This window comes from Homo sapiens, chromosome 6 (genome assembly GCF_000001405.40).
Source record: "Homo sapiens chromosome 6, GRCh38.p14 Primary Assembly".
Classification (NCBI taxonomy): Eukaryota; Metazoa; Chordata; class Mammalia; order Primates; family Hominidae; genus Homo; species Homo sapiens.
Genome location: NC_000006.12, coordinates 152169495 through 152182835, shown reverse-complemented (window position 1 = coordinate 152182835; position 13341 = coordinate 152169495). Strand labels below are relative to the sequence as shown.

The 13341-nt window shown below is 37.2% G+C and overlaps 1 protein-coding gene across 49 annotated transcripts in view, besides 1 other annotated feature; it reads left to right on the top strand.

Moving 5' to 3' along the window:
- SYNE1 (spectrin repeat containing nuclear envelope protein 1) overlaps positions 1-13341 on the top strand; it is a 515676-nt gene that overhangs the window by 454527 nt on the left and 47808 nt on the right. For all 49 annotated transcript variants that reach the window (XM_047418508.1, XM_017010610.2, XM_017010609.2 and 46 more), the window contains 2 exons: positions 2542-2700; positions 6276-6442. In XM_047418508.1, coding sequence (XP_047274464.1) covers positions 2542-2700; positions 6276-6442 — 326 coding nt within the window. The remainder of the gene's footprint in view (positions 1-2541; positions 2701-6275; positions 6443-13341) is intronic.
- Positions 11515-11715: a silencer, noted in NCBI's record as "peak6220 fragment used in MPRA reporter construct". NCBI's record gives its function as "represses an SCP1 promoter by STARR-seq MPRAs in K562 erythroleukemia cells {active_cell/tissue: K562}" and the evidence as "EXISTENCE:reporter gene assay evidence [ECO:0000049][PMID:32103011]".

The window sequence follows — 13341 nt, the reverse complement described above, 5'->3', positions numbered from 1 at the left end:
AAATTTCTCATGGTGGCCTTTCAAAATTTATGGTAGGTTATGGGGCTCACTCTCTAGGCAACTCACTATGCCTAAGGCTGGCCTTGGGATACGTATCCTGGGCTCCTGGACTAGTGTACAAGGATGTAGAATCACAGATATTTAGTTTTGTGTTATCTGTCTAATCATTAACAGAGCAAATCCAAGACAGAATTGATAACTAGAAAGTGTATAATACCTTAGAAATATTTTCATTTTCATTTTAAAAAGGAAATTTGTTTGAAATACATAAAAAGTAAATGTATTAAGGAAGGAAAATGTCTTAAAACAAAATATAGCAAAATGTTAACAGTTTGAGCCCAGGGAGTATGTAATGAGTGCTTACCATCCAATTCCTTCAGCTTTTCTGTGTCGGAAATGTTTTGTAATAAAATGTTGGGGGTAAAATAAAATCAATAGGGATATGTTTAATGCAGTGGAATGAATAGTGGAATAGCTAGCATTATGAACAAGACTGTGGAAGAACGTCTTCAGACCTTCTTACCAAATCATATTATGTTTTGCCAACGTGTAGTTTAACTCAACTAGAAACATTCCTTAGTATTTCAACCAGCACTATGAACACAAGAGTATTATATTTTGAAATCAGAAAATTTTAGAATTCTGGAAAGGATAATTCTAGACCTAGAGATAGGAAAACAAGCCCATTGTATATATATAATGTATAAGAAACTCTCAGAACTCAGTAATAAAAAGGCAATCTAATTAAAAAGCAGGCAACGGATTTGAGTAGATAATTCTCCAAAGGAGATATACAAATGGCTAAGAAACATGAAGAGTCTCAGTATTGTTAGCCTTTAGGGAAATGCAAATCAAAACCATCATCAGATACCACTTCACATCCATTAGGATGGCTGTAATCAAGTGTTGGTGAAGATGTAGAGAAATTGGAATCCTACTACTGGTGGGAATGTGAAATGGGCAGCCACTTTGGAAAACAATCTATAGTGTTACCATATGACCAAGACATTCTACTCCTAGATAAACACCTAGGAGAAATGAAAACATGTGTTCATACAAACACTTGTGCACAAATGTTTATAACAGCATTATTCAGAATAGGCAAAAAAATGGAAACAACCCAAATAAGATGAGTTGATAAATGCAATGTGGTATATTCATACAATGGAATATAGTCAGCAATAAAGGGAATGAAGTATTGATACATGCTACAATATAGGTGAATCTTTAAAATATGCTAAGTGAAAGAAGCCAGTCATAGAAGACTACATATTGTATGATTCCATGTATATGAAATGTCCAGAATAGGCAAATCCACAGGGACAGAAGGGAGATTAGAACTGGGAGGTAAGTGAGGAGGAGCAGTAGAGTAACTGCTGATGGCTACAAGGTTTTCATTGTTGTGGTGGTGGTCATTGTTGTTTGAGGTGGAGTCTTGCTCTGTCACCCAGGCTGGAACACAGTGACACAATCTCGGCTCACTGCAACCTCTGCCTCCTGGGCCCAAGCGACTCTCCTGCCTCAACTTCCCAAGTAGCTGGGATTACAGGTGTGCGCCACCATACCTGGCTAATTTTTGTATTTTTAATAGAGATGGGGTTTCACCATGTTGGCCACGCAGGTTTCGAACTCCTGACCTCTAGTGATCTGTCCGCCTTGGCCTCCCAAAGTGTTAGGATTCTGCCCGCCTTGGCCTCCCAAAGTGTTAGGATTACAGACGTGAGCCACTGCACCTGGCTTTTTTTTTTTTTTTGGAATGATAAAAATATCCTAAAATTGATGATGGTGGTGATTCACAAATGCTGTGAATATACCCAAAAGCACTGAACTGTACATTTTTAAACAGGTGATTGTATCATATGTGAAATACATCTTAATAAATCTGTCATGCGAAAAAAAAAGAAGGAAAAGAAACAAAATTAAATAAATAAAAATGAAAACTGCAGAGAAGTAGAGGAACTTGCCTGGAGTCCACGTGTCAGTATGGAGCTGAGCCTTGGGGCACCTGCCTCCATTTCAGGCCGCTTCGCTTGGATGCTGCCCGCTTCCTCACTCTCTAGATACCTGAGGCTCATTCTTCCATCCCTTCTTTTCTTCCTTTTCTTCTTCCTTCCCTATTTTTACTCTTTTCTTTCATCTTTCTATTCCTTTTTTCTTTCTTTCCTTTTTTTTCCTCCCTTCTTTACCATCTCTCTTTCCTTTTACTTCCCTTCTTTCCTTTCTTCTTTCCCTACTCTTTTCCATTTCTTCTTTCTTTTTTACATTCACTGGTCATGTATCCTATCTATCCTGAACCAATTGTGTGAAGTTGCATTATCCAGAACCTTTAATAAGCTAATGTGTATGTGAATCTTCAGGAAAGAACTAGAGGATTCAATGTCTCCCACTTTATAATAGCAAATCCTAGACTTCAGGAAACAGTGGGCTAAAAAGATGTATGACTATCATTCATTTTAGTCCTAGTTTATTTGCTATTTTCCTTGGAGTGTGGTCTTCTCTCTGATAATCATTTTGCCTATTCTCCCATTTTAAACTTTTCAGCTCTCCTTAAGGCGGCAGCAAATAGGTGAAAGATTGAATGAATGGGCAGTCTTCAGTGAAAAGAACAAGGAACTCTGTGAGTGGTTGACTCAAATGGAAAGCAAAGTTTCTCAGAATGGAGACATTCTCATTGAAGAAATGATAGAGAAGCTCAAGAAGGTATGGAATGCATGGCTACTTAGGTTTTCATTCTTCATAAGGCTTATGTGTACTTTTCACAGGTACAGAAGGTGGCTTTACTCACAATTACTTTCCTGTCAAAGGAGCAGTATATTTTAAACATTTTATCTTTTTAATATAAAATAAACTTGCAGCTGGGCGCAGTGGCTCACGCCTGTAATCCCAGCACTTTGGGAGGCTGAGGTGGGCAGATCATGAGGTCAGGAGATCAAGACCATCCTGGCCAACATGGTGAAACCCTGTCTCTACTAAAATACAAAACATTAGCCTGGCGTGGTGGTGCGCGCCTGTAGTACCAGCTACTCTAGAGGCTGAGGCAGGGGAATCACTTGAACCCAGAAGGCGGAGATTGCAGTGAGCCGAGATCGTGCCACTGCACTCCAGCCTGGTGACAGAACGAGACTCTGTCTCAAAAAAAAAAAAAAAAAAAAAAAAAAAAAAGGATATCCAGCATAAAATAAACTTGCATAAAAAGGCCTGCTTTACACATAAAATATATAGAATACTTGCAATTTGTGATGAAATAGAGCATCTACTATTCAGTTCAGTATTTGGGGGTCTTAATTACCTGTTCAGTAGGAACCCTTTATATGTATTATTTTTCTTTCCTTTTTTTTTTGTTTTTTGTGTATTTTTTTTTGTTTTAAAAAGGTAAAGCCACTAGAGAGAAACTGAAAGAAAACATTCTTAAGATAAATTGAATTGACATTTTCTCTCTAAAATATGATTTATAGACCACAGATAGGAATTAAGAGTTTCCTGATAATTTTGGCTTCATATTATTTTAAAGGTATGTATATCTTATCAAATTATTTTACATATTCATTTGGATCCAAAACATTTCTGATGTCTATATAAAGCTGATCAAATTTGCTAGCATTTTAAAATTTTTGATGATTTCGGCCGGGTGCGGTGGCTCACGCCTGTAATCCCAGCACTTTGGGAAGTGAGACAGGCAGATCACCAGAGGCCAGGATTTTGAGACCAGCCTGGCCAACACAGTGAAACCCCATCTCTACTAAAAATACAAAATATTAGCCAGGCATGGTGGCACATGCCTGTAGTCCTGGCTACTCAGGAGGCCGAGGCAAGAGAATCACTTGAACCCAGGAGATGGAGGTTGCAGTGAGCCGAGATTGTGCCACTGCACTCCAGCCTGGGTGACAGAGTGACACTCTGTCTCAAAAAAAAAAAAAAAAAAAAAGAATTGGGTGATTTCAGTGTTGTTTCCACAGTGCTTGTGAACAATCAGTGATTTTAATGTTATTTTAATTTGTGCTTCTCATTAGTACATATCACCATCTAATGTACAATGTATTTTTTGTATTTACTTATTCATTGTCCAAATGGAGACCCCACTGATCTGTCAGCTTTCCAGGAGCATGGGCTTTGTCTAATTTTGTTTATTGCTATATCCCCTGCACCTGAAACAGTGCCTAACTTCTCATAAGCACTCAGCCAGTATTTACTGCATTTATTCTGAAAAGAAATATAAATGGTTATTAGGAAAAATTATTTCTATCCATATGCACACATAGAAAATTAAAACATCCAAAGCCAACATGTACTATTAATGATGTTACAAATCTAATGGATTTGCCATTAGATAAGCCTTTATGTATCCAATTTGCTTATCCATTGGATAAATCCAAATGGATAAGCATTTGTTTACTTGATATTGTAAAACTTAAAACTCTTGGCTGAGATGATACAGATTTCATTTTAGCATCTGCTCACGGTTGCCCTTTGCTAAGTTGCTGGGTGTCAGAGAATGCTGTCAGTGCGTGATTCATGCACTATAGGTAGTAGAGTAAAATTTGCTATAGAATAAATTTTGATTAAGTTTGTCTCTATTCTCATTGCTTTTTTTTTACTAAATTTAGGATGTATATTGTGAGAGTGTGGGGAAAAAAACCATCTCTTGAACAATCTATAACCAGAACTTAAAATTTAGAAAAATTTCAGCTTTTCATATAGATAATTTTATTACATTGTTTGGCACAATGTTAGGAATATTATTTAAAATGTTAACTATACTACCTCGTATATTAATAACTCATGGGTTTTTTTTTAAAGGGCTTTTGAGTTTTCCTCTTTGTGGCGTCTCTTTTGTAAAGGAAAATAACATCAAGGTTTGGTAATTTTGGCAACATAGAAAAAGGCAGTTGTCAACTGGGAAGTGCTAATAAGATGAAGGAAAAAGAAAAAGGCCATTCATAAAAAAAATTGAAGCCAAGATATTAGTGTCTGTTGGTATTAACACTCAAAAACAGTTTGATTTTAAAGACAATCCAAGAGGATTATTTTATTATAAATACTTTTTAAGTCTTAAAGTAATTCCCTTGAAAGAAACACTTCTCAATAAAATCATCTCAAATGTTTGCTGAAATATTATAATGTTAATAAATACATTCAACGTATTGGTCTTTGAATCCCATTGTGTTGAAATAACATAAAAAGGAGGGTGGGTGGGGCTGCAGGTATGAGGACAGCAGTCAGCCCTGGAATGGAATAAAGTTTTGTTGGTCCCTACCATTCCCCTGGGGCCCTTTGGCTTAGGTAAATGACTTGGGAGGATAGCTCTGTTACCACACTAACTTTAGACCAAGAGAAGGTTAAAATGTTCACACTCATATAATACCCGTCTTCATATATTATTTTGCTGAGAAACTATTTATTACGTAACAGGAGCTTAAGCCAAAAATAAAAAAGTTGATCCTAAAGACTGGATCCTGTCACTGTGGCAAGAGAGTAAGAGGGTCATTGGGGATAGCAGTGGCAGTCAGGGGGAGGGGATTGTCCTTTCATCGTCAGTTAAATCACACCATTTCGTGCTTATCTCTTGCAAATAGTCCATATGGAGTCTGTCCTCTTTAACTCAAACAATCTAAGAGAAGCTAGCACAGAAAGTGAGTAAATTAAGAAGGTTTGAGGCCTGTCGATTCTCTATAGTTAATAGTTATTATTATTGAAAGTTAATTTATCATTGATTTATTTACTGCAAAATATTGACATTGTATAGAGGATTATCTCTTTAAAATGAAGGAACTCTTTTAAAATATTCCTCACAAATAACATAATTGACACACACATTCACATTTATATATATACCTATATATCAATTGCATATATATATGTGTGTGTGCATTTTATAAGTCTCTCAGCAACTATTTGTCTGAGAATTTATTCTAAGTATAACATCAGGTTAGTGATGAGAGAAATAAACTATAATTTTCCAATATTAAAATCTTTTAAGTTTTATTTTTTATATCTATCTTTTATTGTTTTTTAATATGTATTTCAAGTAAATAGGAAGCAGCATCCTATTTATTTCGAGAACCTCTATATAAAAATTTAATCCCAACTCTGCATACATACCAAAAATAATAGGCACTACTAATACTTGTGCACATGGGCTGATATCCACATGGTATTCCTATGCTCAAACTACTTCCAAGCAGTAGAAAGCAGTAATCATCATGTTTCTAGTAGAGCTGGGCTGGATGTATTAAGAATATGCTTTCTGACCTCTGTGATTGCTATTTATTACACAGGATTATCAAGAGGAAATTGCTATTGCTCAAGAGAACAAAATACAGCTCCAACAAATGGGAGAACGACTTGCTAAAGCCAGCCATGAAAGCAAAGCATCTGAGATTGAATACAAGCTGGGAAAGGTCAACGACCGGTGGCAGCATCTCCTGGACCTCATTGCAGCCAGGTAAAGAGGACCTGAGTCAATAGGGCACGTGTGGGCAGTATTTTAAAGCCTTTCAGTCTGCCTTTCATCAGCCAAAGATAATCCAATAAATCAGTCTCTCTTCCTGGGTTATCTCACCATTTTCAAAACTGTTCATGCTCCTCTCATAAGTGGCACTTTAGTTACCTTGAAAATTCTCCTCTTACTTTATAAATCTCATGTTGTTTGTATGTAGCTGCGAGAAAGAGAGAGAGAGTCATATCCAAACAAAACTAATTCCCAAGAGAAAATTCTTTATTTTAGGGCTTCATGGGTATTCAAACTCCTATCAGGAAGAAACTGCTGACCAGTATTTGTGGAGAGTGTTTTTGTCTGCAGTAGCAAAAAAAAAAAAAAAAAATTACTAAATCTCTGCCATATTTTTAGTTAGCAAGGTATAGAAATAAATCTGATTATTGCCACTCTGCTCAGTTGTAAAAATCAGCTGCTGCATTATAGTAATTTTGTGTTGAGCTTTAGTGCTAACTATAAGTGTTTGCCTCATACCTAAGAAGAATATTACATTCACTTTCTGTTGCAGAAGGGTAGGGTTGGGTAAGAGAGATGAAAGTCAAAAAGAAAAATATATGAGGGTATTTACTAGCAATATAAAAGTCTAATATGAATGATGCACTATGTTATAAAAATGTTCTATGCTATTAATATAAAAAGGAGATGTCTTATTTTAGGTGAATTTGGCTTCATGTTGGAACTTAGGCACCCTGAGGTCAGGAAACTTTCTCCATTGTATTCACTACATATCACAAGCACTAAGAACAGTGCCTAAATACGGACTCAATGAATACTTCAGTGCATAAATGAATATTTGAATATTTGAGTAAATGTTCTTCATGGCAATTAGGAGAGTTGGAATGTTACAAATGGTGCCATTTGGGGTCCATCCCACAATACGCTTTTAAAATCTGGGTTTCTTTCCTTAGCCGTGCTGCATAAAAGTGGACGTGAAACAATGTCCTCTGCGTACCATGTGCTCATCAAAACCGCATGTGGGCACCACAACCCTGTATGCTGATTTTGAAAACATTGGATATATTTCTTTTCTATAAGAGAGTTATCAAAAAGTATCTAACTCAAGAAAGTGAGATTATCTTTTAGTGACAATGAAACAAAATGGAATAAATGTATATCAACTTTTTATTTATTTATATTTATTTATTTATATTTGAGATGGAGTCTTGCTCTGTTGCCCAGGCTGGAGTACAGTGGCACAATCTCAGCTCTGCAACCTCTGCCTCCCAGGTTCAAGCAATTCTCCTGCCTCAGCCTCCCAATCCCTGGGACTACAGGCATACACTACCACACCTGGCTAATTTTTGTATTTTTAGTAGAGATGGGGTTTCACCATGTTTGCCAGGCTAGTCTCAAACTCCTGACCTCAGGTGAGCCACCCGCCTCGGCCTCCCGAAGTGCTGGGGTTACAGGTGTGAGCCACCGCACCCAGCCTCAGCTTTTTAAATGTTTAACCATAGCACTGATATAGCTAACATTTATTGAACACTTTGCTGATTCCAATGACCATGCTACGGGTTTCATAGGCATCTTTTTGTGTATTGTTCATAATGTCCTTTGAGGTGGCCTTATCATTATGCCCATTTTACAGATACAGGGGCTAAGGTTGAGGCTTGTCCATCATCACGCACACATTGTGTGGCACAGCCTGTGCTCAGACTCCAAAGCGCGTGTCCTGGAGTGCTGTGCCCTCCTGCCTCTCAAGTTTGTGACTTCCTTTTCCCTGTTAGAGAGAAGACAGTTAAATGGAAGATAAGTTCTGTTTTTGATCTCGACAATCTAATTTCTCAGTTCTTTGTAAAGTACTTACAATGTGACAGTGACTGTGAGAGTCAAGATAAAATGACAGAACTGAAGGAGAACTTCTCCTTTGAGAAGTTCAGGATGGGAATGGAGTAAAACAATGAGATAAATAGGAGCTCTGGAAAAGGCACTATAAAGAGATGGAAATAATATTTTAGCTTAAACTGGTCTCGGAGTTTCAACAAATGTATATTTTAAAATCCCAGTGCTGTGTTCAGTCCCACTTCTCCCTCACTAAAATGATAACAAAATCCTGTTTCAGAAGGAGGAATTGAAGTCCTTCAAGCTATAAATATCCTTCTTAGGGAAACTGCCTGTTTGGTAAACATCCCCCGGGGAGTTTTTTGGTCAAATTTGACTCATAGATTGATTGACATTTCCACGTAATCCAGTTAAACTAGTTAATATTATTTTCCTACTTTTAGTGACTCAGTGATGTGGAGAGTAAGGATGCACTATGTCAAAGATATTTTAAATCAGATTTAATGTAATCTAGTCATAAGCAGCTAACTTAGTGTATGCCCAACTATGAGCCAATATTACAGCAAATGAGTTTGCTGCTGTCTCCTTGAATTCACATTTATTTATAACATATTTTGTCTGGCTGTTCAGTGGAGAGTTTTCTAGATATTAATTGTTTACTTTGCCAAAAGACATATTAATAAACTTGAATCAATTACATGTTTATAAGGTACACATGCTTCTCACTATAGTCACTTATACAATACTAATTTTTGTTTCCTCTTACATAAAGCCTCAGAATACCCAGATAAAATTCCACAGGAGATTTTTGTATATATGTTGCCTGTTTCTAATTGCCTCCTTCCAAATTAGACTAGATTAGGCACTGATCATTGAGCCATCCTGGAGTTTAACACCATGTTAGAGTCACAGTCACCCTTGCAGCTTCTCCTGAAAGACACCCGGCTGTCACATCTGCATTGCATTTCCTTGTTTATTGGTGCTTCGTTAGTGCACAGATTGGATGCATGTTTCCCACACCCATCCTCAACTGTGAACTGCCAGCTGAAGTATTAGGTTTCTATGATTCAGTCCATTCACCACTCTTGCCTCTTCCAGCGCTGATGCACTAAAGCAAAATATAACCCAGTGTATGCCTTTCGACATTTCTGTCCTGTATTGGTGCTCTTGTGGGAATGGAGAGGTTATTTTTGAAGATGATAGTATTTTTAGGTGAACATCTCAGCTAATAGAAACATGAACTGTGTCTTTAATATTCAATCACAGAAGCAACAAAAAAGAAAAGAAAAAGATTTACTGATAACAAATCTATTACATACATAAAAATAGAACGCATAATTTAGAGTCAACTTGACATCACCATCAGATTAGTTTAGATTACTCTGAGTACAAAATAGATGTGCTTTGCATTGAGTTTTTAAATTGTGTTGTCAAGCATTGTCAATTTTTTAGGGCAACAAAAGTTGCTCAGTTACTTTTAGGACTCAGTGAATAATGTTCTAGTGTCCTTTCCATACTTTCTAGATCTGCTGTATGTAATACAGCAGTCACTAGCTACGGATGGCTATTTAAATTACAGAATATTTAAATTAACTGAAATGGAATAAAATTAAATTACTCCTTAATTTTAATTATGGTCAGTTGCACTGGCCACATTTTAAGTGGTCAATAACCCCATGAGGCTAGTGGCTACCTTATTGGACCCTGTACAATGCAGAACATTTTTATCATCTCAGAAAGTTCTGTTGTTCAGCAGTGGCCTAGATAATTAAAGTACCTCTGAGCCCTTGGCTTTTTTTAAAAGTCAACATAAGAAGCTGTCATTGGTGACGCATCACTCTAATTTCTGTAAAACTGCCTTTAAGAATACTGGCTCTCGTTTTGTCAATGAATCCAGTGCAGAAAATCCACATAGCAATTTCTCTAGAGCTCAGGACTAAAAGGAAATCTGTCTTTTTAGTATTAATTCTTCAATGTTTCTTATCACAGACAACGAATTAGTAACATTTCTCATCTTAGCATCTAGGAAGGTCAAATTCAACTTGCGCACTCTGTTGTGATGATTTGGGGGCAGGGAAGTGGGTAACTGGACCTTCTAATAGAGAAAATTCTTTTTCTCTCGGCTAAACCTAAATCCCCATCACCAAGGCAAAAGCATCCTTTAGTTATTTGGCTGTTATCTTTTTGTTTTTCTCAATAGCAGCTTTTTTGGGGATATAATCCACATGCCGTATAACTCATCTATCTAAAGCATGTAATTCAGTGATTTTAGTATATTTATAAAGCTATGCATCTATTACTCCAATCAATTTTAAAACACTTTCGTCAGTCCCAAATAAAAACAGTTACCCATTAGCCGTCACTCTTTTCTTCCCTCCTCTTCCTTCCCCACTTCTCCCAGCCCTGGGAAACTACTAATCTACTTTCTGTTTCTACATGTTTACCTGTTCTGAATAGTTCATATACATAGGTCATATAATATGTGGCCTTTTGTGACTGGTTGTTTTTAATCTCTATATTTATTATAATTGCCTCAACATTTTGTAGAAGTAGAGTAAAAACAAGTAATTTTTTAAAATGATTGAACGCCTACTATATATGAAGTACTATGCTTCTTGCTATAGGGCAGAGGTTGGCAAATGTTTTCTGTAGAGGACCAGATAGTAAATATTTTTAGTTTTGTGGGCCAAATAGTCTCTGTTGCTATTAGCGTGTTATTATAGAGTGAAAGCAGCCATAGAAAAATCTGTAAATAGAAAACCATGGCAGTGCTCCCACAAAATTTTGTTTACCAAAACAGGTGGCCTGCTCTAGGGATATAAAGATGAGAAAGAAAATGGTCCCTAACCAAATAAGTGTCATAATGCAAGTACACAAGCGTTCCTCACTGCAGGGCCTCTTCCTTTCTATTCTCTCTTCCTGGGCATTCTCCTGCCTGCCCCTGGCCTGGCCAGCTCCTGATTGGTTCTTCCTGTTTTTCCTTCTCTCCAGATTAGATCAGATTCTTCTTACGGGCTCAGTAGGCTTCTCCTTCATAGCATTTCCCTGAACTATGTGAAATCTTGTGTGATCAGTCATTTTAAGCCTGTTTTCTCTGCTAAAATGTAAGTGTATCTAACCTTGATCACCATAGTAGTCCCAGCCCCTGACCTTGTTCTTTGCACATAGCAGTCACTCCCGTATTTGCTGAGTTTCTCAAATCTAAACCATAGGGTGGAAAACGTACGCACACAAATGAAAGCATACACAAAGCAAAGCATTGGCTTCGGGCTTCAGCTGCCTGAGTCATAGCGTGATTCTGCTTCACCAACTTGCTTATCTTCTCAGCACCTCGGTTACCACATGTATAAAATGAGAATCATAATAGTAGCTAGCTCAGAAGAATGATTAGTGGTTTACCACTGTATTAGTCCATTTTCATGCTGCTGATAAAGACAACTCGAGACTGGGTGATTTATAAAGAAAAACATGTTTAATGGACTCACAGTTCCACATGGCTGGGGAGGCCTCACAATTATGGTGGAAGGCGAAAGGCACATCTTACATGGTGGCAGACAGGAGAGAATGAAAGCCAGGCAAAAGGGGAAACCCCTTATAAAATCATCAGATCTCATGAGATTTATTCGCTACCACAAGAACAGTCTGGGGGAAACCACCCCCATGACTCAATTATCTCCCATCGGGTCCCTTCCACAACGCATAGGAATTGTGGGAGCTACAAGTCAAGATGAGATTTGGGTAGTGACACAGCTAAACCATATCAACCGCTAAGCATAGAATATGTTCAATAGAGGTCAGCTCTCATCCCAGAGGGAGTTCAAAGGCTGTGGAGGTAAAACACATATGCAGTGCAAGCAAGGCTTTGTGAAGTTCCTAGCAGCTGCCCTCAGGAGGACTTTCAGTTTAAAGGGTGTTCTACCCACGTTGGAGGTCAAAGGAAATGAAATTCTTGGAATTCACGGCTGGTATTACCTAAGGGTGTTTGAGTCGGAAGGTGCCTGGTAAGGATCAGGAATGCATTGATGCGATGAGCACAGAAACAGCACAGAACTAATCAAGAGGCCTGAGTTTAGTCCACCTGGTTCCTGCTGTGTGGCCCAGGTCTTACTGAGTAACTTCTCTGAGCCTCAAGTTGCTCATTTTCAAAGTGTTAATGAAACTAACTGCCACATCTCCAATGAGAAAATGCAAGGGAAAGGACTGTGTTTACTATAAAACAATGTCTATGCCAGTCTCATTCTTTTAGAAACCTGCAGAGTATTCCATAGTATAAATATACCACAACTTATCTAGGATTTTCTGTATCAATGAACATTGCCATTTTTGCTCTTTGAATAATTGTATCTTTAGAGCTTTGCCTTGTCTCATATTTAGTTCATTGGAATACATATATTATGCTAACAATAATAAGCATGAAAAAAATTTCAAATTTTTTAACTCCATGAGGTAAACTAAATAAGGTAAAAGAAATTAAACTAAGGAAATTATGACAATAAAATGTTTTGAAGACTTCAGGTTTTTTAAAATGTTAGTCATAATCAAGAAAAAAACAAAGTTGCCTATAGTGGTAGATTCATAACCAATATATTTCTTTAATCAAAGTTTAAAATATTTTCATTTCTGATTACTAAAAATACATTAATATAAGAAGAATGATTGTTTTATAAAAGAATTCACAGTACAATATCTTTAAGTACTATGTTTTCTAGAATTTATTTCTTATATAAAATGCAGTTTTCTTTAATTTTTTATTTTTTTTTTTGAGATTGGGTTTGCGCTGTCACCCAGGCTGTAGTGCACTGGTGCAGTAATGGCTCACTGCAGCCTCAGCCTCCTGGGCTCAAGCAGTCTTCCTCCCACTTCATTACCTGGGACTACAGATGCATGCCACTGTGCCTGGATAATCTTTTGATTTTTTTTTTTTTTTTTTTTTGAGATGAGGTGTCACTTTGTAACCCAGGCTGGCAGGTGTATTTCCTTTTTTTTTTTTTTTTTTTTTGAGATGGAGTCTCGCTCTGTCACCCAGGCTGGAGTGCAGTGGCGCCATCTCAGCTCACTGCAAGCTC